This window comes from Homo sapiens, chromosome 16 (genome assembly GCF_000001405.40).
Source record: "Homo sapiens chromosome 16, GRCh38.p14 Primary Assembly".
NCBI lineage: Eukaryota > Metazoa > Chordata > Mammalia > Primates > Hominidae > Homo > Homo sapiens.
This window is the reverse complement of record NC_000016.10, coordinates 85,600,144-85,626,456: the sequence shown is the minus strand read 5'-3', so window position 1 is coordinate 85,626,456 and position 26,313 is coordinate 85,600,144. Positions and strand designations below refer to the sequence as shown.

At 59.3% G+C, this 26,313-nt stretch overlaps 1 protein-coding gene across 29 annotated transcripts in view, besides 24 other annotated features; it reads right to left on the bottom strand.

Moving 5' to 3' along the window:
* GSE1 (Gse1 coiled-coil protein) overlaps positions 1–26,313 on the bottom strand; it is a 506,689-nt gene that overhangs the window by 49,744 nt on the left and 430,632 nt on the right. For 4 of the 29 annotated variants that reach the window (NM_014615.5, XM_047433829.1, NM_001278184.3 and 1 more), the window contains exon 1: positions 13,059–13,135. The exons of 17 other annotated variants lie outside the window; for them this stretch is intronic. In NM_014615.5, coding sequence (NP_055430.1) covers positions 13,059–13,065 — 7 coding nt within the window. In that variant the 5' untranslated portion in view covers positions 13,066–13,135. 8 more of the 29 variants (XM_047433822.1, NM_001134473.3, XM_047433824.1 and 5 more) reach the window with 6 other exon arrangements.
* Positions 477–984: an enhancer, noted in NCBI's record as "H3K27ac-H3K4me1 hESC enhancer chr16:85659079-85659586 (GRCh37/hg19 assembly coordinates)". NCBI's record gives its function as "activates a minimal SCP1, AML or CMV promoter by ChIP-STARR-seq in naive H9 embryonic stem cells {active_cell/tissue: H9 hESC(naive)}" and the evidence as "EXISTENCE:reporter gene assay evidence [ECO:0000049][PMID:30033119]".
* Positions 985–1,493: an enhancer, noted in NCBI's record as "H3K27ac-H3K4me1 hESC enhancer chr16:85658570-85659078 (GRCh37/hg19 assembly coordinates)". NCBI's record gives its function as "activates a minimal SCP1, AML or CMV promoter by ChIP-STARR-seq in naive H9 embryonic stem cells {active_cell/tissue: H9 hESC(naive)}" and the evidence as "EXISTENCE:reporter gene assay evidence [ECO:0000049][PMID:30033119]".
* Positions 6,351–7,022: an enhancer, noted in NCBI's record as "H3K4me1 hESC enhancer chr16:85653041-85653712 (GRCh37/hg19 assembly coordinates)". NCBI's record gives its function as "activates a minimal SCP1, AML or CMV promoter by ChIP-STARR-seq in naive H9 embryonic stem cells {active_cell/tissue: H9 hESC(naive)}" and the evidence as "EXISTENCE:reporter gene assay evidence [ECO:0000049][PMID:30033119]".
* Positions 7,023–7,694: an enhancer, noted in NCBI's record as "H3K4me1 hESC enhancer chr16:85652369-85653040 (GRCh37/hg19 assembly coordinates)". NCBI's record gives its function as "activates a minimal SCP1, AML or CMV promoter by ChIP-STARR-seq in naive H9 embryonic stem cells {active_cell/tissue: H9 hESC(naive)}" and the evidence as "EXISTENCE:reporter gene assay evidence [ECO:0000049][PMID:30033119]".
* Positions 9,185–9,364: an enhancer, noted in NCBI's record as "active region_11281". NCBI's record gives its function as "activates an Ori minimal core promoter by ATAC-STARR-seq in GM12878 lymphoblastoid cells {active_cell/tissue: GM12878}" and the evidence as "EXISTENCE:reporter gene assay evidence [ECO:0000049][PMID:35858748]".
* Positions 11,351–12,202: an enhancer, noted in NCBI's record as "H3K27ac-H3K4me1 hESC enhancer chr16:85647861-85648712 (GRCh37/hg19 assembly coordinates)". NCBI's record gives its function as "activates a minimal SCP1, AML or CMV promoter by ChIP-STARR-seq in naive H9 embryonic stem cells {active_cell/tissue: H9 hESC(naive)}" and the evidence as "EXISTENCE:reporter gene assay evidence [ECO:0000049][PMID:30033119]".
* Positions 11,946–12,185: a silencer, noted in NCBI's record as "silent region_7816". NCBI's record gives its function as "represses an Ori minimal core promoter by ATAC-STARR-seq in GM12878 lymphoblastoid cells {active_cell/tissue: GM12878}" and the evidence as "EXISTENCE:reporter gene assay evidence [ECO:0000049][PMID:35858748]".
* Positions 12,246–12,305: a silencer, noted in NCBI's record as "silent region_7815". NCBI's record gives its function as "represses an Ori minimal core promoter by ATAC-STARR-seq in GM12878 lymphoblastoid cells {active_cell/tissue: GM12878}" and the evidence as "EXISTENCE:reporter gene assay evidence [ECO:0000049][PMID:35858748]".
* Positions 12,466–12,625: a silencer, noted in NCBI's record as "silent region_7814". NCBI's record gives its function as "represses an Ori minimal core promoter by ATAC-STARR-seq in GM12878 lymphoblastoid cells {active_cell/tissue: GM12878}" and the evidence as "EXISTENCE:reporter gene assay evidence [ECO:0000049][PMID:35858748]".
* Positions 12,846–13,605: a silencer, noted in NCBI's record as "silent region_7813". NCBI's record gives its function as "represses an Ori minimal core promoter by ATAC-STARR-seq in GM12878 lymphoblastoid cells {active_cell/tissue: GM12878}" and the evidence as "EXISTENCE:reporter gene assay evidence [ECO:0000049][PMID:35858748]".
* Positions 13,676–13,905: an enhancer, noted in NCBI's record as "active region_11280". NCBI's record gives its function as "activates an Ori minimal core promoter by ATAC-STARR-seq in GM12878 lymphoblastoid cells {active_cell/tissue: GM12878}" and the evidence as "EXISTENCE:reporter gene assay evidence [ECO:0000049][PMID:35858748]".
* Positions 14,186–14,495: a silencer, noted in NCBI's record as "silent region_7812". NCBI's record gives its function as "represses an Ori minimal core promoter by ATAC-STARR-seq in GM12878 lymphoblastoid cells {active_cell/tissue: GM12878}" and the evidence as "EXISTENCE:reporter gene assay evidence [ECO:0000049][PMID:35858748]".
* Positions 14,535–15,056: an enhancer, noted in NCBI's record as "H3K27ac-H3K4me1 hESC enhancer chr16:85645007-85645528 (GRCh37/hg19 assembly coordinates)". NCBI's record gives its function as "activates a minimal SCP1, AML or CMV promoter by ChIP-STARR-seq in naive H9 embryonic stem cells {active_cell/tissue: H9 hESC(naive)}" and the evidence as "EXISTENCE:reporter gene assay evidence [ECO:0000049][PMID:30033119]".
* Positions 14,535–15,145: a biological region, named in NCBI's record as "H3K27ac-H3K4me1 hESC enhancer GRCh37_chr16:85645007-85645528".
* Positions 14,536–15,145: a silencer, noted in NCBI's record as "silent region_7811". NCBI's record gives its function as "represses an Ori minimal core promoter by ATAC-STARR-seq in GM12878 lymphoblastoid cells {active_cell/tissue: GM12878}" and the evidence as "EXISTENCE:reporter gene assay evidence [ECO:0000049][PMID:35858748]".
* Positions 15,057–15,578: an enhancer, noted in NCBI's record as "H3K27ac-H3K4me1 hESC enhancer chr16:85644485-85645006 (GRCh37/hg19 assembly coordinates)". NCBI's record gives its function as "activates a minimal SCP1, AML or CMV promoter by ChIP-STARR-seq in naive H9 embryonic stem cells {active_cell/tissue: H9 hESC(naive)}" and the evidence as "EXISTENCE:reporter gene assay evidence [ECO:0000049][PMID:30033119]".
* Positions 15,057–15,625: a biological region, named in NCBI's record as "H3K27ac-H3K4me1 hESC enhancer GRCh37_chr16:85644485-85645006".
* Positions 15,386–15,505: an enhancer, noted in NCBI's record as "active region_11279". NCBI's record gives its function as "activates an Ori minimal core promoter by ATAC-STARR-seq in GM12878 lymphoblastoid cells {active_cell/tissue: GM12878}" and the evidence as "EXISTENCE:reporter gene assay evidence [ECO:0000049][PMID:35858748]".
* Positions 15,536–15,625: an enhancer, noted in NCBI's record as "active region_11278". NCBI's record gives its function as "activates an Ori minimal core promoter by ATAC-STARR-seq in GM12878 lymphoblastoid cells {active_cell/tissue: GM12878}" and the evidence as "EXISTENCE:reporter gene assay evidence [ECO:0000049][PMID:35858748]".
* Positions 15,696–15,875: a silencer, noted in NCBI's record as "silent region_7810". NCBI's record gives its function as "represses an Ori minimal core promoter by ATAC-STARR-seq in GM12878 lymphoblastoid cells {active_cell/tissue: GM12878}" and the evidence as "EXISTENCE:reporter gene assay evidence [ECO:0000049][PMID:35858748]".
* Positions 21,191–21,834: an enhancer, noted in NCBI's record as "H3K27ac-H3K4me1 hESC enhancer chr16:85638229-85638872 (GRCh37/hg19 assembly coordinates)". NCBI's record gives its function as "activates a minimal SCP1, AML or CMV promoter by ChIP-STARR-seq in primed H9 embryonic stem cells {active_cell/tissue: H9 hESC(primed)}" and the evidence as "EXISTENCE:reporter gene assay evidence [ECO:0000049][PMID:30033119]".
* Positions 23,557–24,275: an enhancer, noted in NCBI's record as "H3K27ac-H3K4me1 hESC enhancer chr16:85635788-85636506 (GRCh37/hg19 assembly coordinates)". NCBI's record gives its function as "activates a minimal SCP1, AML or CMV promoter by ChIP-STARR-seq in primed H9 embryonic stem cells {active_cell/tissue: H9 hESC(primed)}" and the evidence as "EXISTENCE:reporter gene assay evidence [ECO:0000049][PMID:30033119]".
* Positions 24,276–24,994: an enhancer, noted in NCBI's record as "H3K27ac-H3K4me1 hESC enhancer chr16:85635069-85635787 (GRCh37/hg19 assembly coordinates)". NCBI's record gives its function as "activates a minimal SCP1, AML or CMV promoter by ChIP-STARR-seq in naive H9 embryonic stem cells {active_cell/tissue: H9 hESC(naive)}" and the evidence as "EXISTENCE:reporter gene assay evidence [ECO:0000049][PMID:30033119]".
* Positions 24,995–25,714: an enhancer, noted in NCBI's record as "H3K27ac-H3K4me1 hESC enhancer chr16:85634349-85635068 (GRCh37/hg19 assembly coordinates)". NCBI's record gives its function as "activates a minimal SCP1, AML or CMV promoter by ChIP-STARR-seq in naive H9 embryonic stem cells {active_cell/tissue: H9 hESC(naive)}" and the evidence as "EXISTENCE:reporter gene assay evidence [ECO:0000049][PMID:30033119]".

Sequence of the window (26,313 nt, the reverse complement as noted above, 5' to 3'; positions counted from 1 at the left end):
CAGCTCGGGGACTGGTGCCCGCCCCCGCGATCCCCACTCCCCCAAAGGGGCGAAGCTTCCGTGGCCCTAACGAGGTCGGGTCACCCTGCTACAGACCCTGGCGGCTGAGGCTGCACGGGCACCACGTGATCGCAGGAGCCTGGGCGGCTTCATGATAAATTCATTATCATATCTGCCCTCCACGTGCTCCAAGCTCAGTGGCACAAAGCAATTTTTCTTGGGGGTGGAGGCAAGGGAGGGGGCGGGGAGACCCTGGGGAGAGGTCTTCTTGCTCCAGACACATGGGGGCAGCCTGCTTGTGCCTTAATTTTTTTTTTCCAAATAAAAACACCCCCCCAGGCTGCCCTGGGTCCCCATACTGGACTTGCTTCCCAAGGTCTATGCCCCAGAAACCGGCCAGGGCCATCACTCATGGCTAAGGCAAAGGACAGCCCTTGCAGGTGGCCAGGATCCTGACCTGGAACAAGAAGGGCTGAGAAAACACAAGCAGGTGGGCGGGGGCAACCTGTGCAGCCACAGGAGTCCCTACCCCAGGAGGAAAGAGCAACACAGCGCCTGGCCCGTGTAGACCTGTCCTCTGCCACGCTCACTGAGCCACGGCAGGAGCCCCCAGACGCTGCCCTCCAGGGCCCCGGTCAACCACGTAGAGCCACCCGCAATGAGCCATCTCCCAAGCAATGCCTAGGGCCCCCAGCAGCCACCCTGAACCCCATATTCTGCCCGAGCCCCACGACACCCTTGAAGCTGCAGTCCTGCTGTGAATGGGGGTGACGGGGAGGGGGCTGGCCACCCCGGTTTCTCCCCAGCCTTCTCTTGCTCACTGCCATGCTGGGAACACAAAGGAGGCCGTGTTCTGCAGAAGAACACGGGGTGCAGAGCTCTCGGGAGACGTCCACACAACAGCATTGGACAGTGCAAGGGAGCAGGTCAATCCCAGGGGTGTCACCTGGGGGGCCAGGTCACCTGGAGGGGCTTCCCAGGTTGGACGCCACACTACAGTTTTGAGGACAGCAGGGGGGCTCTGCACAGAAGGCGCTGGATGCTGAGGTTGCATTCTGGGGACCCGCGGACAGCAGCCTCCTAGGAGCCGACGGTCCTGCGACTGAGGTTCACGGCCACGGACTGGTCCCGGAGGTTCCCGGATGGAGGCGAGGGACGGGAAGTCAGGCAACAGATGGCAGCAACATTTGACGCGATTATCCTAAGCGGCTGCTGTGTGTGCGGAGAAGCAGGCCGGGCAGATGAAGGGCTGGAGAGGAGGGCGGCGGGAAGGGCGGGACTGGCAGATGCGGGCGGCAGCCTGGCCTCGGCAGGGAGGCGGCCTCCTAAAGGGGCACGACAGACCAAGGGAGAGGGCGGGGCCCTGAGTCAAGGCTGGGGTCGGTGTCCAGAGCTGTGACTCTGGGAGATGGTGCCCAGCACCAACAGCGATCAAGGTACCAGGGGGCAACTTTTACAGGGCGCCGGCTACCTGTACCCTTACTTCCCTTTACGTAAGCAGACCCCAGAAAGCAAAGCTGCGAACAGCAAAGTGACACAGGCCGCTGGGGCCACACAGCTCAGCTGAGACAGAGCCGGGGGCTCACCCATGCCGGCCGATTCCCAGCCCCTCCGCCACCCTGTGCCCTTGGCGGTACCTGGGGTCCCTTGTCACATTCTCCCCATGGGCTGCTTCCCGGAGGCAGTGGTCCTGGCGGTGCCCAGGCGCCTCTCTCCACCTGTTTATTCCACACAGTGGGATGCTCACTCCCAGCCTACAGAGGCTGAACGGAGGCTGGAGATTCACGCCCTCAACCCGGGTCACATGTAGAGGCTCAGGAGCCGGAAGGAAACCCAGCTGTCCTGGCCATGGTGCCGGCTGCTTCCCTTTAATGTGCGAAGAGATTGGAAATGGCTGGCGTCACTTGGGGTCCCCTCCCTGTGGCAGCTCTCACCCTGTGGCGGCTGTTTGGGTGCCCACCCTAGTGCTATACCCGTTTTACGGACGGGACCTACACGGCTGGGAATAGGAAGGCTCTGGACTCGAGGCCTCCCCCAGCCCCACTTTCCCACAGCTCTCAGCCAGAGGGCACCTGTGCTAGAGGCCGGAACCGCCCCCGGGTGCCCTGTGTAGCCCATGGCACCAGAGCTGACCAGGCTGCCTTCCATTGCACCTGCTCCTGTGGGAGCCCTTCCTCCCTCCAGAGGCCCTGGGCAGAGGAACGGATGAGGTCCAAGGTGTCCAGGCAGGTGAGAGGTGCCCAGGAGGGAAATCCAACCTGGCTCCCCCACCCCAGGGCGGGCACTGAGGTCTCCAAGTTTCCGTGGGACGGCGGGTGGCGGCCGGGGGGCATGGGCCAGCAGGAAGAGGAGGCTGAGACGCTTGCTCACAAGGACCCACGAAATGCAGGCCCCTCTCCTCTCCCCAGTGTGGAGGAGGCTGAGTGTTTAACAAGCTCCCTCAGGTAAGTGGGAGGGAGAGAGGATCCAAGGACGTCTCCTATGAATGCCTGTCCCTTCTGTACCGAGTGAGTGCCAGTACCTATCTACAGGGCCCTTAGTCTACAGCCAAGAACAGGGACCAGGCCGTACAGGAGCTGGACACCAACAGGTGCTCAAAGAAGCAATCATACAGGGGCCAGGAGTGGCCTGGGCAGCAGGGGAGGTGGCGCGGGGGCAGAAAGGGCCACCTGGCCTTCGAAGAGGGGTCCAGGGTCTCCAGCTTCAGAGGCGGGGAGATGGTGATGACTGGAAAACGTCCCTTCCCTCCAACAGGGCGGACGCCCACACCAGCAGAAATGGGCGCCTTTAAGTCAGAAGGCGCAGTGTGCCTGCCTGCAGGCACCGGGGTCCTCACATCCCACTCAGCCAGCCTGAACTTCCACTGAAGGCTGAGAGCTGTGGGGCCTCGAGGGAACACACTATGGGGGCAGAGCAAAAAGGGCTTGGTCCTGAGCTGGAAAACCAAGGGGAACGGGGGTGGGCCCAGGCTGACTCATGCCCAACAGCTCAGTGCGGACTTCCAGGGCACCGCATGGCCTGAGCCTCAGTTTCCCTGTCAGTACCATGGAGAGAGGGTGCAAATGATTGGACAAGAGGGTCAGTGAACAGTGGCTCACGCCTATAATCCCAGCGCTTTGGGAGGCCGAGGTGGGGGATCGCTTGAGCCCAGGAGGTTGAGGCTGCCTTGAGTTGTGATTGCGCGACTGCACTGCAATGTAGGTGACAGAGCGAGACCCTGTCTCAAAAAAAAAAAAAAAAAGGAGTGGACAAGGGGCCAGCCTTTTACCCTTCAACCTGTTTTTATTTGACCTGAAATCACGCTGTGTTGTTTAAACGAGAATCAATGGGCAATGTCTTAAAATAGGAGGCTTCAAGTCAACGAGAAGGTGCCCAGTTTCTCCCGAAAAGTCTAAGCCATAAAAACCACAGCCCCATGAGTGGCACTTCTCCCTTAGTTTGTCCCTAACTCTCCAGGTTGCCAGAGTCTGCACCCCTCCCCTCCCTATGGTCTCAGGCCAGCCAGCTTCCTCAACACCAGGTCTTCCCAATTCTCCAAGTACATGCAGGTCTGAGCAACTAACAGCCCTGCGGCAGCTGCAGCTGCAACCCTCAGCACAGACACTCCACTCAGATGTCATCGACACGGTAACTCCATGAGGGTGTAACAGAAAGAGGTCAACCCCTTCCCAGGCTCAGCTTCAGGGGACGCCTATGAAGGCCACAATTCTGGCGTGTGTCAACCCCAAGGTAGGTCTCCCCTGAATCAAAGCAAGCTCACCAAGTCAGGACTTGCCCCTCAAGTCATAAAACAGTTACATCCGCCTTTGCAAAAAGGTCCACTCTCAAGATGGTTCAAAGTGGCGGACCAGACCCTCTCCCCAGGAAAATACACCTACTGCATGTTACATACAGTTTTACCAAGTTCGAAGAGCCTATCTGTAAACCCTGTGGGAGCGTGTGTTTGAAGATGTGTAGCATCCATGAACCCAGGCTACAAACTCCTACAGCACAGAGTTCCCTAAGTGGCAACCCACGAGTATGAACACCCTCCCCAATATGACCTGCCTGGACAGAGGAAATACAGGGTGGAAAAAGAAAGGGCCCAGAACCATCCACGTTCTAATGGCGTTTCCTCGTCCAGACTCGTCTCCCATCTTCAAAGCCCCAAGTGCTGTGCCCAGACATCACTAAATGCCTCACTGGAAAAAACCAACAAGCACCCTCAGCCAAGATGGACTTTGGAATGGAGCTGTCCAGGAAAAGCTCCCATAACAGTCATGCGCCAGGAGTCCTGGACTCCCTCATCCAACCCAGCCACCAAACAGGACAAACTGGTCACCTTTTCCGGCCACAATCATCCTGTCAACTGCTGAATGGCTGACTGCTTAAGTCTAAATGATTCTGTAATTCTCAACATGCACACACACACGCCCCTCCAGAATCCCAGTGAGGAACTAGTAAATTTCCCAGTCAGGTGCAGACCTGGCTGTTGGGAGCTGGCAGTCTCTGCCACCAAGACTGGTAACAAAGTTCTTGTTGCGCCATGAGAAGTAGTCCAGGCTATGTCTCCTGTCCTGAAGGCTGCATGGGGAGTATGGGGTGGGAAGAATGAGCCCGAGGTGGGCAGGTAAGCAGAGGTGGGCCGGAGCGCCCTCCCCTCCCCTGCTTCTTCAAGGGTAATCTGGCAGAAGGAACACAACAGTCTCTCCAGTGGATAAGAGACACGGATGACACAAAACCCCAGGGTCCACTCTGCCAGCCGTGGCTGGAGAAACCCCAGCTCCAGCATCCAAGCAGACACAGTCCTGCTGTTAGTGGATTCAGAGTCACTCCGCAGGATCCCAACCAGTCTCAACCTGGAAACCAGCTGCTTAGTTAAAATGTCCTCCCTGTGCCCAGGTGACAGGCTCCAGGGGTCTGGCATCCCTGCTAAGGATGGATTAACTTCCTTAGTCCTATAAAGTCTTATAAGATGTACATTTAGGTGGAAACAACACGTTGTAAAACGATAAGACTGTATTCAAAAAAGGACGCCAGGACATCGGCTTGATTTAAAATAGATACGATCTCAGCGCACACTCCACTCCCTGCACACCCCAGCACGGGGGGCGGTGGACACAAACCTTTTTCAAGAGACGATCTAAGCGGGTTCCCCCAACACCGCAGAGACCCAAGGCCAAGACCATCTAAACGGGTTCCCCAACAGAGCACAGACCCAGGGCCGAAACCATCTAAACGGGTTCCCCAACACAGCAGAGACCCAGGGCCAAGACCATCTACACGGGTTCCCCAACAGTGCAGAGATCCAGGGCCGAGACCATCTAAACGGGTTCCCCAACAGGGCAGAGACCCAGGGCCAAGACCATCTACACGGGTTCCCCAACAGTGCAGAGATCCAGGGCTGAAACCATCTAAATGGGTTCCCCCACACAGCAGAGACCCAGGGCTGAGACCATCTAAACGGATTCCCCAACACAGCAGAGACCCCGGGCCGAGACCATCTACACGGGTTCCCCAACACAGCAGACACCCATGGCCGAGACCATCTACACGGCTTCCCCAACAGAGCAGAGACCCAGGGCCGAGACCCTCTAAACGGGTTCCCCAACACAGCAGACACCCATGGCCAAGACCATCTACACGGCTTCCCCAACACAGCAGAGACCCAGGGCTGAGACCCTCTAAACGGGTTCCTCAACAGAGCAGAGACCCAGGGCTGAGAACAGTGCAGAGACCCAAGGCTGAGACCATCTAAACGGGTTCCCCAACAGCTCAGAGATGCAGGGCTGAGTGGGGCGCCAGCCCAGGCATTCCACAAGGGCTGATTCCGAAACCCTGTTTTCTTATCTGTTACGGGGTGACTAACCGCACCCTCCCGACGGGCGGCAGAGACGACCGCGTGGATCGGCAGCCTCTGGGAGGCGGAAGTCTCTCCAATGCTCCCATCTGGCTGAGAATTTTTGCTTGAACCGCATTCCACTTTGTGTCTTCAACACCCAGTATAGCATCGGCTGTCTAGTGGATCCTCGTATATTTAAGTGAATGGAAAAAATACCACATGTCAAATGCAAAAACATTACAAAAATACACTCAAAGATAAATGTACACTGGGAATTCAGTTGGAAGAATCCACTCACATCCCGAGACTGGGTGAAGCAGCTCAGTTTAATTTTGTTTTTTTGCTGAGACAAGAGTCCCGCTCTATCACCCAGGCTGGGGTGCAGTGGTGCGATCACAGCTCATTGCAGGCAGCCTCGAGCTCCGGGGCTCAAGTGATCCTCCCTGCCCAGCCTCCTGAGTAGCTGGAACCACAGGCGCATCCCACCAAGCCTGGCCAGTTCTTTTTATTTTTATTTTTATTTTTTGTAGAGAGGAGGTCTTAAACTGCAGAGCTCAAGCAATCCACCTGCCTCGGCCTCCTGGAGTGCTGGGATTACAGGCTTGAGCCACCGCACCCCATAAGCAGCCCAGGTTAAACAGGGCCTTCCGAAGCAGCCGGTGACCTCTCTCCAGGCTCTAAGGGAGAGCGGGTGGGAGTTGGGTGAGGAGGCTGGAGTGGGAAAATCATGGTGTGGGTTTCTGCTCCTCTACCAATTAATTACCAGCTGTGTGACTACAGGGAGGATATGGATCCCCGGGGCCCCTTTCTTCCCTGGTGCATGGCTAAATGGGGATAATCCCTGCCTAGCAAGTCAGTCCCTCCCTGGGGAGGAGGAGCACGTTGGGGTGAAAACGTCCCCCCACCACGCCTGACGCACAGCCCACGGCGTGACCCTCATAGGCTGGGGCAGCCACAGCACCTCTGGATACAGAAATACAGTCTTTCCCATCTGGTTACTAAATCCCAGAGACAACTCCTTAAGTGGGATCAAGACCTGGCCGGCACACCATCTGCCCACAGATCACACCACGTAAGAGCGCCTGCCGTCCCTCCAGGCCCGTCTGGGGCTGTGGGGCATCGCTTGGCACCCCCGGGCTTTGCCCCCCAACCCAGAAGATAAGACTCAGGGTTAGCCTAGAAGTGGCCCTTAAGGCTGCGCCCCACCCCCCTCCCGCCTCCACTCGCAAGCTGTCTTGTGCTCAGCTTGACATATAGATTTTCCTTCGGGACGGCTTAACCTGTCCAACATCAATACTGCTCAACCAAAAGCTGGGCGGTCGATACCCTTCATTGCTGCCTGTGGCCACAGACCCACCATCCGAGCGCAGGAAGGGCAGGGCTGGGGGAGGGACAGTTTGTTAAAGCATCTCCCGCCACCTGGGCCCAGAGTGCCAATCACCAAGGGGGCAGTGGTGTGCATGTGAGCCCGAGGGGACGTTGAGGCTCCTAAAAAGAACCTCCGGTTGTTAAAGCCCAGCAGAGGGGCCGGCAGGGTCTGCTGTGGTGACTTGAGCCTTAGGGCAGAAAAAGCAACTCCAGTCTTTTTGGGAAAAGGGGCCACCCCCAACACCGCAAGGGAGTCAGTTGAGCGTAGGGGAACAGAGCCTTGGAACTTTATAAATTAAAGCCAAGCTGGACACAGTGGCTCATGCCTGTAACTCCAGTGCTTTGGGAGGCTGAGACGGAAGGATCACCCAAGATCAGGAGTTTGAGACCACCCTGGGCAACACAGTGAGAGACCCTGTCTCCACAAAAAAATTTCTTTAAAATTAGCCAGGTGTCGCGGCACGCATCAGTGGTTCCAACTTCTCAGGAGGCTGCGGCAGCAGGATCACTTGAGCGCAGGAGTTTGAGGCTGTGGTGAGCTGTGATCGCACCACTGCGCCCCAGCCTAGGCAGCAGAGCAAGACCCTGTCTCTAATTAAAACAACAGCAACAGGAGTAGCCGCAAGGCTTTGCAGAGCCTGTGTCAGGTGCTGTACTGGGCACTTGGTAATAAAGGCTTTAACCCTCAACAGCCTCAGGATACAGGTGACATTGTCATTCCTATTCCACAGATTAGAAGACTGAGGCCCAGAACACAAGTGCCTGAGGTCACACAGGCTAAGCAAGAGGCAGATACGAACAGTCAGATGCACTGATCGACACAGTAACAGCTGACACTCATCAGGGGCTCACCCCACGCTCCAGGCCTTCTCAACCCTCACCCGCATCTGTCATTTACCCGTCAGGGGCATGTGGCGGGCATTACAGCATCTCATCCTCACCCTCAACTGCCAGAGGGCCTCTGCATCCTCGTCTTACAGATGAGAACATGGGGGTGGGGGTGAGGACGTGATGATTAAAGTGGAAGGATCTATGTCACCATTAGCACGCACCCCCCTCACGCCACCTCAGTCCAGTGATCCCAAAGCCACTATTACACACACCTCCTCAGACACGTCAAGTCCTCCAGCTGGAGGAACCGGTTCCAGAATTGGAAGGCCTGGCTAGAGATGCAGGTGAACACGAATCCACCCATGCCAGTGGGACTCTGCATTTGTAAGCCCCTTTAGAAGAGCTCAAAGCACACCTGGGCCAGGCAAGAATGACCTTCAGGATTCTGCCTGGGGTTAACACAAGGCCCACAGACATCCAGAGAGCAGCCAGGTGACAGGTGCCACGCCGTCCTGCGGGGGAGGTGGCGTAGAGGGGAGACGTCCATTTCTGAGTCACCAGGGTTCTCCATCCAATTCCGGGGCAAGCAAGGCGGTCTCTGGCTTCCCAGGTGGGAAGAGAGACCCCAGGTCTCCTGAAACAGCATCAGCCCATCTTCCCAGGAGAAGGAATTCCTACCCACATTGCTCCCCCCAGCAGAAGGCCCTTCTGGATTAGGGGGGCCAAGCATTGAAAAGCTCCCACCCTGGCCCCTAGGTGACTAGGAAGCTGCTCTGGAAGAAAGCAGAGCCAGGGTCTCAGCTTGGGCTGCACGTGGCAGTTAACGGGGGGGGGGGGGGGAGGGTTGACACACGGATGCCCAGGCTGCATCCCTCCGAGATTTGGCCTGAACTGCCTGGCAGTACAGCCTGGACACTGGGAGCTTTTAAAGCTCCCCAGGTGATTCAAAAGTGCAGCCAGGAGAGACCCCCGAGCTGGAGGCTCCCCACTTCCTCCACCTGCCTCCCTAGAAACCCCCAAGTCACAAGGACCCACAAAAGCCTCAAGTGCAGCCCAACCCCTTCTTTCCACAGATGACTGGTAGGTGCAGGTGAAGGTAAACCAGAGGCCCTCTCCAGCACCAGCCCTGCCCTCATCTACAGCTCCTTCCTCCAGGCCTGGACTCCGCCCCAGCCTCCCGGGGGCAGCTCTCACTTCCCCTCTGAACTTCTGATTCCAGACACGGGGTGGGCATGGGAGTATGGATGCGAGGGAGGCATCAGGTTAGGAGGGGCAGGTGGACTGGCCTCAGTGACAGGTGGGCTTTGGAGCAGACGGGAGAATCCCAGGCAGACGGGATGGCCCATGCTAGGACAGGGACGTGGCCAAACGCAGGAGTGGCGAGAATGGCGTGTGGTTTCGTCTGGCTGGAGCTGAGGGCGTGAGAGAAGAGGCTGGTGGGGAATCAGAGCTGCAGAAGCAAGATTAAAAGGCCCCCGAGTGTGCGTTTGGCAGGCATGCAAAGGGCTGCTTTTGGCCACGCTCCTGTTTTATCTGTCTGTACACCTCCCAGCAGCAAGCACACGGCTGGATTCAGAGGAGGAGCTCAATAAATTCTCATTGACAGCGACACTCCGAAACGTCACCTCCCAGGCTGTGGCCTCAGCCGGGGGAGAAAGGCCAGCATGCGGAAGTGAAGCCAGCAGCACGGCGTCCCACACCGCACTCGGTGAGGCCACCGAGATCTGAGACTCCACTGGGGGAGGAATTAAAGCCAGGCGGCCAGGCTTCGGCACAGCCACCAAGCTGAAATGTCACCTGCAACATGGATCTCTGCAGGTTAAAAAAACAGCTCTCCCGGCACACCAGGAAAGGGAGGGGAAGCCCTGTGGTTTCAGAGGACCCTGCTGTTGCCACAACAGAGACAATTCACAGGCTACCCAGAGAGGGTCCCCATCCAACCCTGGCCCGATCCCAGGGTTTGATCCTTGGACTTCGAGTAACCCAGGCTGGGAATTCCAAGGCTTCAAATGGGGCCAGGAAAAACCGGCCCTGCTAGCCGACTCCACAAGCCCCTGCGAGCTCCTGGAGGCAGGGAAAAGGTAGCAGCCAGCCCTCTAGCTTATCCGCACTCTTCCAGAAAAGTGGGAGGCACCAGCTCCTGCCCCTCAGCTCGGGGCTCCGAGCCCAAAGGCCCCCCAGTCCGCCTCCTTCAGAGCAGGGGAGGACAGACAGTACCTGCTCCAGGGGCTCAAGGGGAATTTGGGACTCCAGGGGTTGGAAGGGGGGAATCTCTAGCTCAGAGGTGCAGGACCCCGGTCTGCCACAGAGTGGCGCTGTGCAGACTTGGCTCTTCCTGGGGCCGGCGATGCTGAGCCCACAGGCAGGCTTGGCTTCTGCTCTGAAACCACAAGGCACTCAGATCTGCAGCCCCTGAACTTCCCCCAGAGACAGGGAAGTGACTGCTGGAGGGGAGGGCTCATCGGGGCCATCGGAGGAGGCTTCCTGCTGTGAGCGCGGTGTCCGCCCCACGCCTGGCCCCAAGCCTCAGTTTGCCCCTTGTTCCTACCCCCAGTGTGTACGTTAGGATCAGCTGGGGAGCTCTGACAACCCCCAGACCCGGGTCAGGAACCCAGAGGCTGTGGCTTAACTGGGCTTGGAAAGGCCTGGCCAGCAGCAGTTTTAAAACACCGAGTTTGGAGATGTACAAGCCCCTTTGAACTCTGACACTCCAAGATCCTAAAAACTGTCCCAAACAGCTCAGAGCCTGCGCCACAGTGGACACCTTGTTGCCTTCCTTGTTTTGAGCTCAGCCTCACTGTGCCTAGAACTAGGACTTCCCGACCTCCCTTCCCAAGGCAGGGCTGACCCTAGGTCACCGGAGGCTCCTGGCGGGCTCTCACCAGCTCTGGCCCGGCACCGCCCCCAAGGCTCCAGGAAAGAAAACTCCAAGCGTCAAAACCGTGGTTGGCTCCAGCTTCCCCAGCTTCCCCTCCTGACTTTGGTGTCTGCTGCCAGAGTGACAAAAGCCATCCTCGCACCCGGCCCGCAGGAGATCAGGAACGCTGCCGACACGGGGCTGGCTGTCTCGGAAAGTCTCTTAGGAAGCACCGAGGTCGCTGCTCTCGCAGGCCAGGGCCTCTTCCAGCGCTCCTGAATCTACCTGGGCGGGGCGACTCCCTGCACAGCCGGCGGCCGGGATGACACACTTCGCCGTCGGAGCCTGCGCCCTGGGCCCCTCACCTGTGGCGTGGCGGCTGAGTCAGGCACAGCCTGTGCCTCAGGTTCTGCCGTCCCTGCTGGTGGAGGCGGCCGTAAACACAGGGTGAGCAACACTGAAGTGCCCCAAGCTTAAGCAACACCGAGGGAGGCCAGGGAAGGCTGCTCACCTGGGTTCCCCCTTCCACCCCTGCCGGGAGGCGGGAGCACGGAATCCCAGAGGAGAGGACGAGACGGCCGACCAGGGGGCACATTTCACAACGCCCCCACCAAGACCTTCTCTCTGCCCCTTTGTCCCCCGCCGCCTGGAAATCGGCTTAGGCGGGTTCGCTTCCACCCGGAGTGCGGCTGGGCCTTTTGTTCAGGCGCCTTTTACAAAAGGAGCCCTCTTTCCATTTGGTGGCCCCGCTTTTTGTTTCCAAACCCCAACCTGTGTGGCCGCTACCCCTCAGGCCCCAGATAAGGCACCGCAGCGGGGAGCAAGGGTTTAGTGTGTTTTAAACGCACTTTGTACAAAGGCTAGTTTGTAAGAGCCAAACCGACTCAACTCCGGCTGGCATCCACCGCCCAGCTGGGAACCCGGCAGGTGCTCCCCCACCGCCAGCACGCTGCCCTCGGAACTCAGACGGGCACTGCGGCCAGGCCCCCGGCCCACCACGTGGAAAGGGCGCAGCCTCCACTCCCCCATCTAATGAGGGTGTCGCGGTGTCCCTTCCCCCCATCTGGGAACCCCCTCCCTATGGCCTGCGCCTCGAGTCTCCACCGCACATTTCTAAGTGCCCCCCTGGTCCCCCACCCGGCGCTGGGGAGGGGAGGCGGAAAGCTGGGGGTGGGCGGGCGCAGGGAGGGTGAGCTCCACTCCCGCTCCGCCTCCATGAAGGGAATTTAATTAGCCTGCTAGAGAGGCGGGCGGGCGGCCGAGGAGGTGTCTCTGGTGCTGCAATATAATTGAATCGGCTCCACTCGGTCGGGCCACTCGCCGCCCATCAGCGCGGCCGCAGGGCCCGGGAGGGCTGGGGGCGGGGAGGCGCATCCAGGCGGAGCAGGAAGGGCCGGGGAGGGAAAAAGGCCAGTGCGGGTGGGGGGCGGCGGATGTGCAATCCCTCTCCCACCTCCGAGGCTGGGGCAGCCATCTTCTGCGGGGGGGAGGGGAGGGGCAGGGAGCCGCTCCGCCGGGGGTGGGGGGAGAGAGAGGAGAGAAGCGGCCGAGCCCGGGGCGCGCCCTTCCTCGGGAAGCAGGGCGTGGGGGTCACAAACCCGGCAGGCTGCGGTCCCGCCCTCCCGACCAACTCCCCCGAGACAAGGGGTCGGGGAGGGGGAGGGGAGCAAGACAAGAACCCTAACCGGCGCGGCCCCAGTAGCGAGCACCCCCCCCCCCCACACCCCCGCTTCCTCGGCCGTCGCCAGCACCTGCCGCGGGGGCGCACAGCCACCCCCATTCGCTCCCTCCCGCGTCGCCGCAAAGTTTTCATTCCAGCTCTCCAGCGCCCGCAGCTCTCGGAGACTCCCCCCGCCACCCCCATCCCCCCACTTTACCTGCCCTCTAGCCCGCACGCACTTAAACGCACCCCCCCCATCCCCCGCTGAGCGCACTCCTGAGCCCGGAGCCCCCGAGTCCCCGCCCGCAGCCAGGCCTCCCAGGCTGCGACCCGCGGGCGGAGGAAGGGGGTGGCCTTTGGTCGCCTGCCCGCCCTCCCGGCTCTTATCGCCGCTAACACTCCGGGGAAGTTGCCCGGGAGCCGTTGGCGGCCGCCCCCGCGAAACCCGCGAACTTGCAGGAGGACAGTGCGGTGGGGGGAGGGGGGAGGACCCCGTCCCCGGCCGGGTGCGGCGCGCTCACCTTTCATGCCAGGGCCCCGCAGCTCCACCTCGGCTGATACATGCTGGAGCCACCGTCGCCCAGTGTTTGTCTAAACTGCTTATCTCACCCGGGGCTGCTCGGCGGCGGCAGCTCGGGCCCGCTGGGGAGGTGGAGCTTCCGGGGCCCCGGCCAAGAAACACCTGCTGCTGTCGCCGCCGAGGACACACCCAAACGCAACGCCGCCCACTCCCGGGCCACTGGCTCGCTCCCGGCTCCCTGACCTCAGCCAGCGGGAGGTGTCGGGTTTCAGCCGCAAACACACAGGCGCGCGCGCGCGCACCGACGGGCGCCCGGATCCACCCGCCCAGGCACACGCCCCTCCCCGGCCCGGCCGGCCAGGTGAGCCGGGGACACCAGCGGGGCCGCGGAGGTGCCACCCCCACACTCTCGGGAGCCCCTGGCTGGACTGCTCGGGGGTCCCGGGGACCTTGGTGGCTAAGACCGGCCACTTAACTCTTAAAGTAGTGCAGCACCCTCGCCACGTGAGCGGAGCCCTGTCTCGCAGCTGCGTCCCGGGAACCTAGAACAGTGCCTGACACAGAGCAGGCCCAATAATGGGCGGACGGGTAACTCCGTGTCCTGGAGGCCTTTTGGAGAACAACTTTCTGGGCGCTGGTGGCGCGTGGGGTGGGGGGAGGCGACACAAAACAGACTGTGTACCCAAGCCCCACCCCCCCCATGCCTGACCTTATTACCCCAACTAGAAAAGGCTGAATACTAAGAACTTGGCCTCAAAATTCCATAAGGCACCCCACCCCCCAGTTTTAAGTAACTTTTGGGAAGGCCACAATTGCGGGCCGCTGCGGGGGGTGTTCTTTAAAGAACCCGCGGCCCAGGGGCTGGAGAACCCACGGAGGCGCCGCTTCGCCAGGGGGATCATTAAGTAGCTGGGGTTGCGGTCAGAGGCGAGGTCGCCCGCCTCCAGAAACTGGCACGACCCATTGCGCTTCTGGCCCCAGCGCAGCGCCTCCCCATTCCTGGCACCCCCCACCCTACCTCACCCAGGCACTTGACTGGAATGACTCAGGGAGCGTCCTGAAATTCCTGGGCACCCACAGGCGGCGCGGAGAGGGACTGAAGGCCCCAGCCTTCCCACCCCCCGGCTCCGCCCACCCCGCCCCGCCCCGCCCCGCCCCCACCCCATCGCGGCGGGCGCGTCCCCAGGAAGCTCGGGGTTAAAGGGGCGGGCCTCGGGGGCAGGGGTCGGCGAGCCTCCCCTGCCGCCTTCTGGCGCCCTGGGCTGTAACCCCCCCGGGCGGCTCTGAGGCCCCGGGGTCGCTCCCTCCTCATCCTCTTCCAACACCCCTCTGATCTAGCGCGTCCCTACTTCTGAGCCCTGGGGCAAACCAGCACCCCCTGGGCGGCCGCCCCAGCGCTGCGCTGCGGTGCGGGTTTCGACTTTCAGCCCCCTCGTGCCAGCCCCAAACCTGCCCCGGGACATGCCCGCGCCAGGCTTGGCAGGCGCGCACGCTGCCGTCCCCGCGAGCCCGCCTCCCCCGCCTTCCTCCCTCCCCCTCCCCGCGCCAGCCCGGATTGCGACGGGAGCGAGCGCTGGGCGCCTGCCACCCCCCATCCATCTGTTCCCGATGACGCTGGCGGGCCTAGAGCGTTCGGGGCCCGCGCCAGCGGGGAGCAGAACCAGCCTGTGTGCCCTCCGGGGGGCAGGGTCTGGCGGGCTCCCTCAGGCCCCACGCTCCCCGCTCGACCTCCGACCGAGCGCGCGCCGGGGCCCGGAGGTGGGGGCGCACGCGGGCCGGCCCCCCGCCTTGCACAAGGCTCCGGGCAGACCACAAACGAAAAGGGAAACGGACCGGCGAGGCCGGGTCGGGCCGTTACTGGCTCCTACCTGCGGACGCTGGCCGGCCCTGGCACGGCGCGGGGGTGCTGCTTCCCCGCACGACCCGCCAGCTCACCGGCGGCGCCCCCCTTGCGGCCTTGGCCGGACGCTATAATTTACGCACCACACGGTGGCTCGGCCGCGCGGGCCCGGGTAATTTATACCCGCACTGGCCGGCGGATTCACCCGGCCCCAGGCGGCCAGGGCTGGGAGGGGGAGGGGGAGGGGGAGGGGCGCCTCCACCCCCACTGGGAGTCACGGGCGGGGGGAGGGGAGGATAGGGAGGTGTTAGGAAGGAATGGACGACGACTGGCCCCGAGCCTTAAAAACAAAATTCACCTCCGGGACTGGCCCAACCCCTTTCCCACCTGGATTACAAGCTGCGGGGGGAGGGGAACAGCATGCAAATGAACCTCTCGCACCTGGCCGGGTAGACACCTAGGCCCCACCTCCAGGTCTCTCACCCGGACACGGTGCCACCACCTACTCCCTTCTTCCTTGGAGAGGCCCTTGGGCCAGGGGTGAAGGTGGGGTTAGGTTTCTCCACCTGTTTGAGCAGGACCACGACGGCCAACCACAAAAACGTGTGGAGTGGCCACTGGGAGGTGCATCACTCGGCTTTTTAGAGCCGGCCAATCCCTCCGGCGTATACATCTAGCTCCCCTGGATTGCGAGATGGGTGGTCTGGTCCCGTTTCACAGATGAGGAAGTTGAGGCCCTGAGTTGCTCAAGATCATGTGCACACAGGTGACATGCAAGCTGCGCCCCAAACTGCTCACACCTGGAAGTCACTCCCCTTCCCAACCCAGTAGGCCTAGGGGAGCGAGGCGCTGCCGGACACCCCGGCAACCGCCGGGGGGCAGCAGCGAGCCGCTCTGTGAGTCCTGGCCGGGAAACGCTGGCGGCCACCAGGCGGGCTGGCAAGGGGGAGATGGATGACACTCACTGTCAGTGCGCCCGGCCCCCGGAAATTAGTAATCCGGAGCACGGCCTCCGAGTTTAAGGGTGGGAATTGCTCTCCTGCAGCCGGCGCGCTCCTCGCTAACGAGGTTTGTCGCTTGACTCCTAATTTCCCAGCACTGGGGCTAAGGCTGGCCTCCCTCCATTTCCCTCCAGGCCTGCTCCTCCTCCTCTCTCTTCCTAAGCAGCGCCCTACCCACAGCCCCGCGCCCCCAGATAGTGCGAGCCCTTCCTGGGCACAGCTCTCTTTCCCTGGACCTCCTTCCCACCCTCCACTCCCATTTGCCTGGAAGGAGCTAGGTAGGTGCCAGGGCCAGGCCTACGGAGGCACCTCCCAGAGCAGGACACCTGCCCTGGGGATGCTGCACGCGGTGCTCCTTACCACGGACTGTGCTTTGTGCCAAGGCAACAGGATGCTGGTGCCTGGTGCGCGTTTGCTCACACCCTGAGGCCCCTGCCAAGCTAAACTGTGCCTCCAAGAGCGGAAGGCAGGCTCCCAGCCCCTCACCTGCCTCAGGTACCTGCTTCAGTGACACCTAGGTGCAAACTCTAGCCCTACCTCCACAAGCCCTGGAACCTATTAGACCTGCACCACAAAAGAGATTTAAAATTTAAAAGCTTTCCTAAGGGCATGGTAGCTCACGCCTGTAATCCCAGCACTTTGGGGGGGCCAAGATAGGCATATTGCTTGAGATCAGGAGTTCGAGACCGGCCTGGACAACATGGCAAAACCCTGTCTCTATTAAAAACAAAAAAAAATTAGCCCTGCATGGTGGCGTGTGCCTGTAGTCCCATCTACTTGGGAAAGTGAGGTAGGAGGATCCCTTGAGCCCAGGAGGCAGAGGTCGCAGTGAGCTGAGATTGTGCCACTACACTCTAGCCTGGGCGACAGAGTGAGACCCTGTTTCAAAGGAGGAAAAAAAAAAGAAAGCTTTCCATCTCAGATGAACATGAGACACCTTAAACCTACTCCCTGAGCTCAGGAACTAAGAGGGGTGTCTGGAGACGGGAGTCCTAGGAGGATCCACCAGAAAGAAAGGGACGCCTTGAACCACAGAGGGTGGGCGGTTTTTCACTCAACAAACACACTAAACCCTGGGCTGTGTTTCACACTTGGTTTTCCAGAAACAAAACTGAAAATTCCAGTAAGCCTTCAGCAAGCACCTCAGAGAGGCCAGGGTTAGCTGGGTGTGATGGCACAAGCCTGTGGTCCCAGCTACTCGCGAGACTGAGGCAGGAGGATCATTTGGGCCCAGGAGTCTGAGGCTGAGGTATGATTGTGCCACTGCACTCCAGCTTGAGCCACAGAGCAAGACCTTGTCTTTTTTTGGTTGTTTTTAAAGGTGGGGGCGGCAAGGGACAGACAGCAGAGGGCAGATGCTGACAGAGGGGACACTTCAAGGCAGCAAGGAAATTTGGAAGGCAAGGGGGCAGGATGACAGCACAGACCACCACCACCACTGCCTGGGCATCAACCTGGGCCACGTCAGGTGCTCAGGGGTGCGGGCGCCACCCGTGACTGTCACAACCTCACTAAGTCTGAGCACACGGCCTAGCCCTGGCGGAGGATGGATCCCGGACACGTTCTTTCTGGTTCTTGCTTCTTCTAGGGCTCAGCAGGACAGCACACAGCCTAACCCAAGGTCCTTCTCCATCCTGGCCAGTTGCTCCTAGCACGTAGGAACTGCATGTCACCTTCATTATGTTGCCTGGGCACCTTGTTCAGCGCCTGGATCCGCCAATAAGTATCAGGGACCTGGATGTCCGTGGGCCAGGAGGTAAAGATCACCTGTGCCATTCACCAAGCACCTAACAAGAGCCAGCGCTGCTCAGCGCATGTCACTGGAAGCCCTCCCGGCCCTGCAAGGCAGGCAGTGACCTCCATTACACAGCCCGAGTGGGGAGACCTGAGAAGGTTAATTGGCCTGCCTCAGGCACACACATTCCAGCACGAGTCTCATCCAGACGTGGCTCTTACACCTGGCAGCACTTCTCGGTAACCACCTGCCATGGTCACTCTGATTATTAAGAAAGATACACCTGCAGGGGTACGACAGGTCTCAAGCGGTTTCAGGTCTACGCTCTTACCTCTGGGCAGCTGTCCAGTGCCTGAAAACCATTTTGGTTGGGGGCCGGGGGAGGGAGCCGTTAGCTGCCTAGAGCTGAGCACCCTGGGATTCACCCAGCTCCCCTGTATGCACAGTCCACCCTCCCCAAGGCTACCAGCCCCGGTGCAGGGGCAAGGGGCGGGGGGCTAAGTCCACAGAGTGCACTGAATCCGGGGGGCACGAAGAGCTGAGGGGTGGAAGGCTGCCCAGCTACCCCATCTGCCCTCAGCCCCCAGCCCTGCCCTACGCATCGGTGAAGGTGCAAGCCCCCACCACTTAGATTCCACCCTCCTCTTTCTGTTTCCTGCCCTGCTATCACTGGCCCAGAAATCCTCCCCATTCTTCAAAGCCCGGCTTACATCTTATCTCTTGCAAGAAGGCTTTTCCCATCCCTGCCTCTGGAATTCATCTCTCCAGGTTGCGTCCCACTCTTAGATAGCAATCACACAGTGCAGTGGGTCTGAAATCATGGGGGGGAGGAATACAGATCCCCAGGCCCCTCCCCTTACGGAGCCAAGGTCTCCAAGCAGTGCCTGAGAAGAAGCATCCTCCACCAGCCACCCTGCAGGCCGGGCCACAGCGTGTCTGCTGGAGTCCCAGACTCCCTGCTCCAGAGTGGCAGTGGGGGCCTCAAGGGAAGAAGGCCCCTGTCTCCTAGCAGGGACACAGTCCCCAGACCCTGGGCAGGATTTAAGATTTAACCCAGATCTGCTGATTGGATAAAGGCTGGAGGGAGAGAGGGGAAAGCAGCGCCCGCCTCTCCCTGCCTGCCCCCTCTTGGGGAGGAACCAGATTCGCCAGGGATGCTGGGGGAGCCCCACCCCAGCAGCTCAGGTGGCCCTCAGTAGCCCAGGTCACCTCTAGGGGAACAGGAAAGGGTTAAGGCCCGGCTAACTCCCTTTGAGGAGTTTTCCTCTTAACCCCGGGCTGCCCCACACTTCCTGCCCTCTCAGCGCCTGGTTCCAATCCGCACCCCGCACACAGCTGCACTCCTTTACAATCAGTTAACAGCTGTTTTGCATAGATTTTCAATTCTAATTGCCTCGCTTTGTGAGCGCCGCCGAGCCCTGGTGAATGGGGACGCCGCCACCGCGGCTGGAAAGCGGGCGGGAGAGGGAGTAAAAGGAAGCCGTGTGCGTCGGGGCTGCTGGCTTTTATTTTTCTAAATCAGAAAAGAATACCCCTGCTACCAACCGCCCCCCAGCTCCTGCCTCTCCTACTGGAGCGGGGAAACCTGAAACGGGTGACCCCCACCTCTGGAGAGGCACCCACTCTATGACCTGGGCTCCCTGACCCCAACCCAGATACAGGTCCCAGAGGGCAGCTTCCAGCTCCAGAGCTGGCCCAGGAGCCATGGCTCTCCTCCCTCCTGCAGCTCCCCTCCCCCTCCTCCCTCCCGCCCCCCCCACCCCAGGCTCTCCAGTATCCAGATATGGGAAGCTAATTGGACAGTAAAGTTGAACAGCAAGGAAACGCACTCTCTGGAGACAGCTGGCATCTATAAAAGAAATATTTGCATTTAAAACCTTTAAACTTTATATGGCGGGGCCAGGCCGAGGCAGGGGAAGGGGGCTGGGGGAGCAGCGCTCGGACCCTTGATGGGGGGCAGAGAATCCTGGGAGTTTTGGACGCTTCTGCCACCAGTGAGCACCCCCCACACATACCCCTTGCCCTGTTACTGTCTGGGAGACAAGTTGGCCCCTGCTAGCCAGACGGCCCTGGCCAAGTCTAAGTGTCCCAGGTGTCTGAAATCCTGGGAAGAGCTTGCGTCCACTTGGGCTGCCACAGGCAAGCCACAGGGATCCCAGGGCATCCAGGCTGGGTCCTGCACCCTGGTGGTGGGCCTGGCTCAACTGCTGTCCACAACCTGTCCCTCTCCCGGGTCACCCAGAAGCTCCAGGACCCAGTGACGGGCAGACTCAGTGGCAAAGTGGCCCCTTCCTGGCAAGGAGACGTTCTGCCAGGAGCCGCCTCTGGTGGCCTGAAGCCCTCCGTTCCATCCCCTGCACATCCAGACAGTGCAGCTGTGTGAGGGCACCTGACCAGGTCCGCGTTCAGGGCCCTGCAGGCTGGCATCACTACACTGCACGGATGAGGTTGTGGAGCTCGGAGAAGTCCGCCCTGCCTTCCCAGCGCTCCTGCTGTCTGGGGTGGGGATGCCAGGTTTTCATTTCCTCACATGCCTAGTTCCCATTTTTCATATTTGAGAGAAACCTGGCCAAATTTTCCTACTGTCAACATGGGTGATGTAAAGCCGGGAGAGCATGTGTTCCGGAGTGGTCTGATTTTAGCAGGCTTTTATAAAATCCCAGGGCGCTGAGAACCCCGTCTACCTGGCAGGCCTGCTGGAGTGGGCTGTGCCACGGCAGACTTCAAGGGCAGGAGCCGAAACTTCTGTGGTGGAGGTGAGAAGGAGGGCAGGGGCTGGCGGCCAAGCCCGATGGGCACATGGGTAGCTTTCAATGATGTCAACTCAACAGAAACCACGGCAGAAACAGGTCCAGTTCACTGGCAGCAATCAGAGGGGAGCAGGGTCTCCTCCTTGCAACTTTTCTTCCCATCAGGAAACTATCTCCAGTCCAAGCAAGGCAGTCTCAGCTCCTGGGCCGCCCATGAGCCCAGCCTGCTGTTTGAGGCTTCTGATCACCTACAATGCGGTCTTCAGTTTATCCGGCTCGCTACGGGCAGCACCCTCTCTACCACTTACCTCTAAAAACACCCTGGGGCCAGACGTGTTAACCCCATTCAATGACCACCCAGACAGCAAACGTTAAAATGTGGCTTTGGAGAGCACAGCCGGTGGCCCCCCCGGGGGTGCAGGGGGAGGATGGACATGGCAGTCAAGCTGCCGGACTGGGCAAATCTCCACCCACTGCACACCCGTTTCCTTAGCTGCTGCCCTGCAAGGAACGTGTCCCCCTGCCCCCACTTTGGTGAGGACCAGACAAGACAATAGAGAGAGCCATGCCCAGTGCCTGGGACGAAGCTGGAGCTCAGAAGCATTCCCTTACATTTGCTGTGCGGAGGAAGTGGAAAGGTGGCAGCACAGACAAATAAAGTTTTACGAGGAAGCACTTCTCGGCGCCAGACCAGATGGGCAGGGAGGTCGGTCACTTAGACCACTTCTGCCCTGGGACATTGGGCCTAGAGTGAGAGCAGCGGAACTCTTTTCTCCTCCGACATTAGGAGAGGCCTTGGAATGTCACACACACTCCAAGAATCACACCAGCAACTTGCGTGAGCCCAGCCCCTGCCGGCCCCTGGCTGGTCACTAGGCAAGGGGAGCAGGACAGCGGGTGGGGCCCAGCCGGCCACCCAAGTCCCTGGCTTCTGTAAGTGTGAAGATACTGATAGCAGACCAGGCGCAGTGGCTCACATCTGTAATCCCAACACTTTGGGAGGCCGAGGCGGACGGATCACAAGGTCAGGAGATCGAGACCATCCTGGCTAACACGGTGAAACCCCATCTCTACTAAAAATACAAAAAACTAGCCGGGCGTGGTGGAGGGCGCCTGTAGTCCCAGCTACTCGGGAGGCTGAGGCAGGAGAATGGCGTGAACCCGGGAGGCGGAGCTTGCAGTGAGCCGAGATCCCGCCACTGCACTCCAGCCTGGGCGACAGAGCGAGACTCCATCTCAAAAAAAAAAAAAAAAAAAAAAAAAAAAAATATATATATATATATATATATATATATATATTTTTTTTTTTTTTTTTTTTTTTTTTTTTTTTTGACAGAATCTCACTCTGTTGCCCAGGCTGGAGCGCGGTAGTGCGATCATAGCTCACTGCAGTCTCGACCTCCTGGTCTCAAGGATCCTCCCGCCTCAGAAGGTGCATCTTTAAAAATTATCAAATCAGCCCATGTGACCATCAACGGGGGGAAGAGATAAACAAAATGTGGTCTCTGTGTACAATGGAATATTATTCAGCCACAGAAAGGAATGGGGCCTGATACACAGTGAGGCATGAAACATACCTTCGCGTCCACGCAAAACCTTGTACGGATGTTCCTATCAGCATGGCTCATCATAGCCAAAAAGTGAAAACCTACATGTCCATCAGATGATGGATAGATGAAGAAAACATGGTTTATCCATACAGTGAGTGGACTATTACTCAGCCATAAAAAGGACTGAGGTGCTAATCCACGCTACAACACAGATGAACCTTGAAGACACGATGCTGGATGGAAGAAGCCAGACAAACAAGGGGGATTCCATTTGTATGAAATGCCCGGAACAGGCAAATCCAGAGACAAAAAGCAGAGGAGTAGTTGCTTAGGGCTAGGGGAGGGGAGAGGGGAGTGGCTGCTAATGGATCTGAGTTTCCTTTTGGGGTGGTCCTTTTGGTCCCTCTGTCTTGCCCCTGCCTTTGCCACGTGATATGCTGGCTCCCTCTTTGCCTTCCCTCATGATTGTAAATTTCCTGGGGCCTCCCCCGAAGCTGAGCAGATGTGAGCACCATGCTTCCTGCAGGGCCTGCAGAACCATGAACCAATTATACCGCTTTTCTTTATAATTAAAAAGAAAAAAAGAAAATGATTTGGACCAGGACAGAGACGAGGGCTGCATATTAGGAATGTACTAAATGCCGCTGAACTGTACCCTTTAAAACGGCTAATTGTATGTTACATGAATTTCACCTCAATTAAAAACAATCCAATCTGGGCTGGGCCCAGTGGCTCACACCTGTAATCTCAGCATTTTGGGAGGCCAAGGAGGGAGGATCGCTTGAGCCCTGGAGTTGGAGACCAGCTCAGGCAATATAGTGAAACTCCATCTCTACAAAAAATAATAATAAAAAAATAACCAGGCTTGGGGGTACATGTCTGTGGTCCCAGTTACTCAGGAGGCTGAGGTGGGAGGACTGGCTTGAGCCTGAGAGGTTGAGGCTGCAGTGAGCCATGACCGCACCACTGCACCACAGCCTGGGCGACACAGTGAGACCCTGTCTCAAAACAAAACAAAAAAATCCAATCTGAAGGCCTCTGCCTGTCCCTGGGAGAGGCCAGATGCAGGGCAGGGCCTGTAGTTTCCAGAGAAGCCTCAAGAAGAGAAGCATCCCCTGGAAACTCCCTTTCGGGCTGTGCGGATGACCCTCGGGCACTGGGGGCTGAGCAGAGTCACGAGCGAAGCCAGTCATGACCCAGCACATTTTCCTCCCAGGGAACTTTCCCCACTCGGCGTCTCTCCCCCTTCCACGGACACGGTGCCCTCTCTGTGGACCCAAGCTCTGAGATGGAGGGGTTCACAATGTCCCCTCCCCCAGCTGAGCTCCCTCAAAGCTGCAGACCTATTTTTGTCCTCACTGACAATTCTCCCATGCAGGGGAAAGGCGGGTCTTGCTGCCTCGTGAGCTCTGAGCAGCTGGAGGTCGTGACACTGAAATGAACACACCTGTCTCCAAGCAGGGCTGCAAGGCAGCTCCTGCCACCTGGCCACTCGGCTGGAAAGCGGCCAGCTGTGACCCTGGCAGGCCTGGAGGGGATGGGATGGCAGCCCAGGCAGGGGCACAGGGAAGCAAGGCCTGCAGAGGTCACCAGCTGCCCACGGAGCGCCCCGCTCCGGTCCCAGACCCCTGACCTGAGACCAGTGTGTGGGCCCCTGCGGGGGAGGGCAAGGGCAGCCCCTGTAACCGGGTACATCGCTGGCAGCAGTGAGTACACTTCCACCTGCTGAGCCTGGACACCAGTGGACCGGAAATTTGGGTGATTCACTCAAAAGCCCGGGAGGAACTGTCTTCCTTCATAAAGATCAACCGGCTGTCCTCAGGCTGGGTGAGGGGCTTTCCTCTGGCTTCGTGGTCCATCCACTGGCTCAGAGGACACCTACACCTCAGGCCCCCACCAAGGCCACCACCCAGAGATAGGCTACATGCCCAGAGAGCACCCAGGAGGCCGGGTTCTGGAGCAGCGGGTCACCCTAGGCCCAGGACAGATGTGGGTCGGGCAGGGATCCGGCAAGGTCAGGGGAGCTCGCTCACACCGGCAGACCAGGAGCGGTTCTAGAACCCCAGGGCGGCCAGGGCCCAAGGGTCTCCATTAGCCCCCAAGAAGCCTCCCAGGGATCCTTAGAAACTTTTATTTCTGGGTCCCTGTTCCCTGATTTTCTACCACATGTTAAAAGCCTTCGAAGTTCTTTTCCGTATCAAGTAGCACTGGCTGGGGACACGCAGGCCTGTGAATCAGTCCACACGCTGCTCCCGCCCCGCCTCCTCCCTGCCTGGCCCCCGCCTCGGCCTCCAGGCAACCCCCTGGGCGCTGTGTGCTGCTAACCCGGCCCTGGCAGCAGTCCTGGCTGCTCAGAATCAGCATTCGTTAAGTGCCTACTGTGCCCGGCCTTCTGCCTTCATCCTTGCTGCAAACCTAGGAGAGGCCAACTTCCCTGGACGGTGGGGCTGGGATCTGAACCACGGAGGAGCTTCTTCTAGAACTGCACTCTCTCTTCCTCCAGGCCCGTCTTCTCCCTCTCCCTCCCCGCCGCCTCCCAGTGCTCCTGACAAATGTCTTGATTAATAACCTACTGCCGGTCATTAAGATCACAACTGTCACTCGGACAATCAAGTCCCAGTTGCCTTTATCACTCGCGGGCTCGACAAGCGATGCACGCAGACAGAGGAGACCCTGGTGTCCAGGGCAGCTCTGCCCTCACCCACCACAGGATAGGCGGGCCCTGGGGACGCGGGGTCAAGACCTGGGCCTCAGCTCCCTAGCTCACGTCGGCTGCAAGGAACCCTCTGCTGCGGCTCTTGTTGTGTTTATGTCCTTAAAATTTGGTCTCACAAAAATTAAAATAATCAAAAAGGAAAGGTTAGATGGACAAAGTTGTTTTCATCGCTCGAAGTTCCTGGTGTGGAGATTTTTAGTCAGCCGCCTGTGGCCCTTCTGGGTGTCTGCCGGCCCCGCGCTGAAGGTGAGCGTGGAGGCAGTGGGTCCCCAGGTCACCCCCCCACCTTGATTTCTACCTGATTGCCTCAGCTCTGCCTCTTGCCAGAGAGCCTCTTCCCGCCTGGCCTTCCTCTGGCCTGTCTTTGAGCTCCCATTCTGAAAGGCCTCCTCCCCACCAGCCTGGCCCCTGCAATCCCTCCCAGTGCCAGTAAAGTTGCTCCCACGTTCCCTGACTGCCGTGGGCCTGGCAGACACCCATGGCTGCCCCACCCCTGCTGCCTCCTCTCCTGGGGCTGCTCCCCTCCCACCCCTCACACGGCACCTCTCCCTCAGCCTGCCTCTGGGGTCTATTTCCCCTCTGAGACTCCCTCCTGGCCCTCACGACTGCACTAGGGGCGTCTGGAAGCGTCTCACAGTCTCTCTAGACTCGCCCAGCCCCACCACCCTTCCCTGGGCCTGCTGTATCCTCCCCCAGCAGAGCCCCATCTCCTTTATTCAAACCCTGACCTCTTCCTTCAAGCCCTGGCTTAAAATTCTGCCTCCTCCAGGGAGTCCTCCTGGATGGCAGCTCTAACCCCCCCACTGGTGGAAGCCGACCTTCCCTCCTCCCACCGAGGGGTTGCTTTGGCATTCTCACTTTCTTCCAGGCGCTCACTGAGCTGAGCCGTTGGAGAGGAGACTGAGCTAAATGAAATCAAGAAGCCCCTAGGAGGACACAAACCCTCATCAGCGCCAAACAGCCCTCCTGTCCCCAAAATAAACCCAGCCAAAAAAGGATGCGGGAACCTCCTGCAGGATCCGCACCATGCCGTCTTGTCCTGGATTGCTGAGTGCCTTTCCCCAGTTGACAAGGATGGGTTTATTTCATCAGCCTTCAGAGTCCCTACATCTGCGATGCTACGCCAGCCCCTCCCCTCTTCATAGCTGGAGTGTTTTGCAAAGAGCCACCAGGAAAACAAATGCTGGGTTTTTGGGGTGTGTGTGTGTGTGTGTGTGTGTTTGGGGTGTGTGTGTGTGTGTGTGTTTTTTAACAAGGCTCCCAAATGATCTTAAGACACACACACCACAGCCTTCTTAGCCACAGCCAGCCACTGCCTCTCAACACTAGCCTCTCACCCGGAGTTCAGACACTCTCCTCTCCCACGAAAGACAGTGGTCCTCGAGAGAGCCCTCAGCCTGGCCTTCCCCATCAGGCCTGGGTGACATCTTCCCAGCCCCTCCCCTTGGCCCACATGGAAGCATCGAGGAGGCCCAGCCCCCTCCTGCCTGGCCATTTGGGCACAGGGTGATCACAGCCCGGCTCAGGAGTTCTATTCCTGGCTCAGCCAGCAAACTGCTTTGTGACCTTGGGAAAGTCCCCACACCGCTCAGACCCCACCTGTGAGTGTTCCCGTGAATAACCCAAGGTGGCACCTTAAAAGCAGGCTCAGCTCAAAGAAGCCA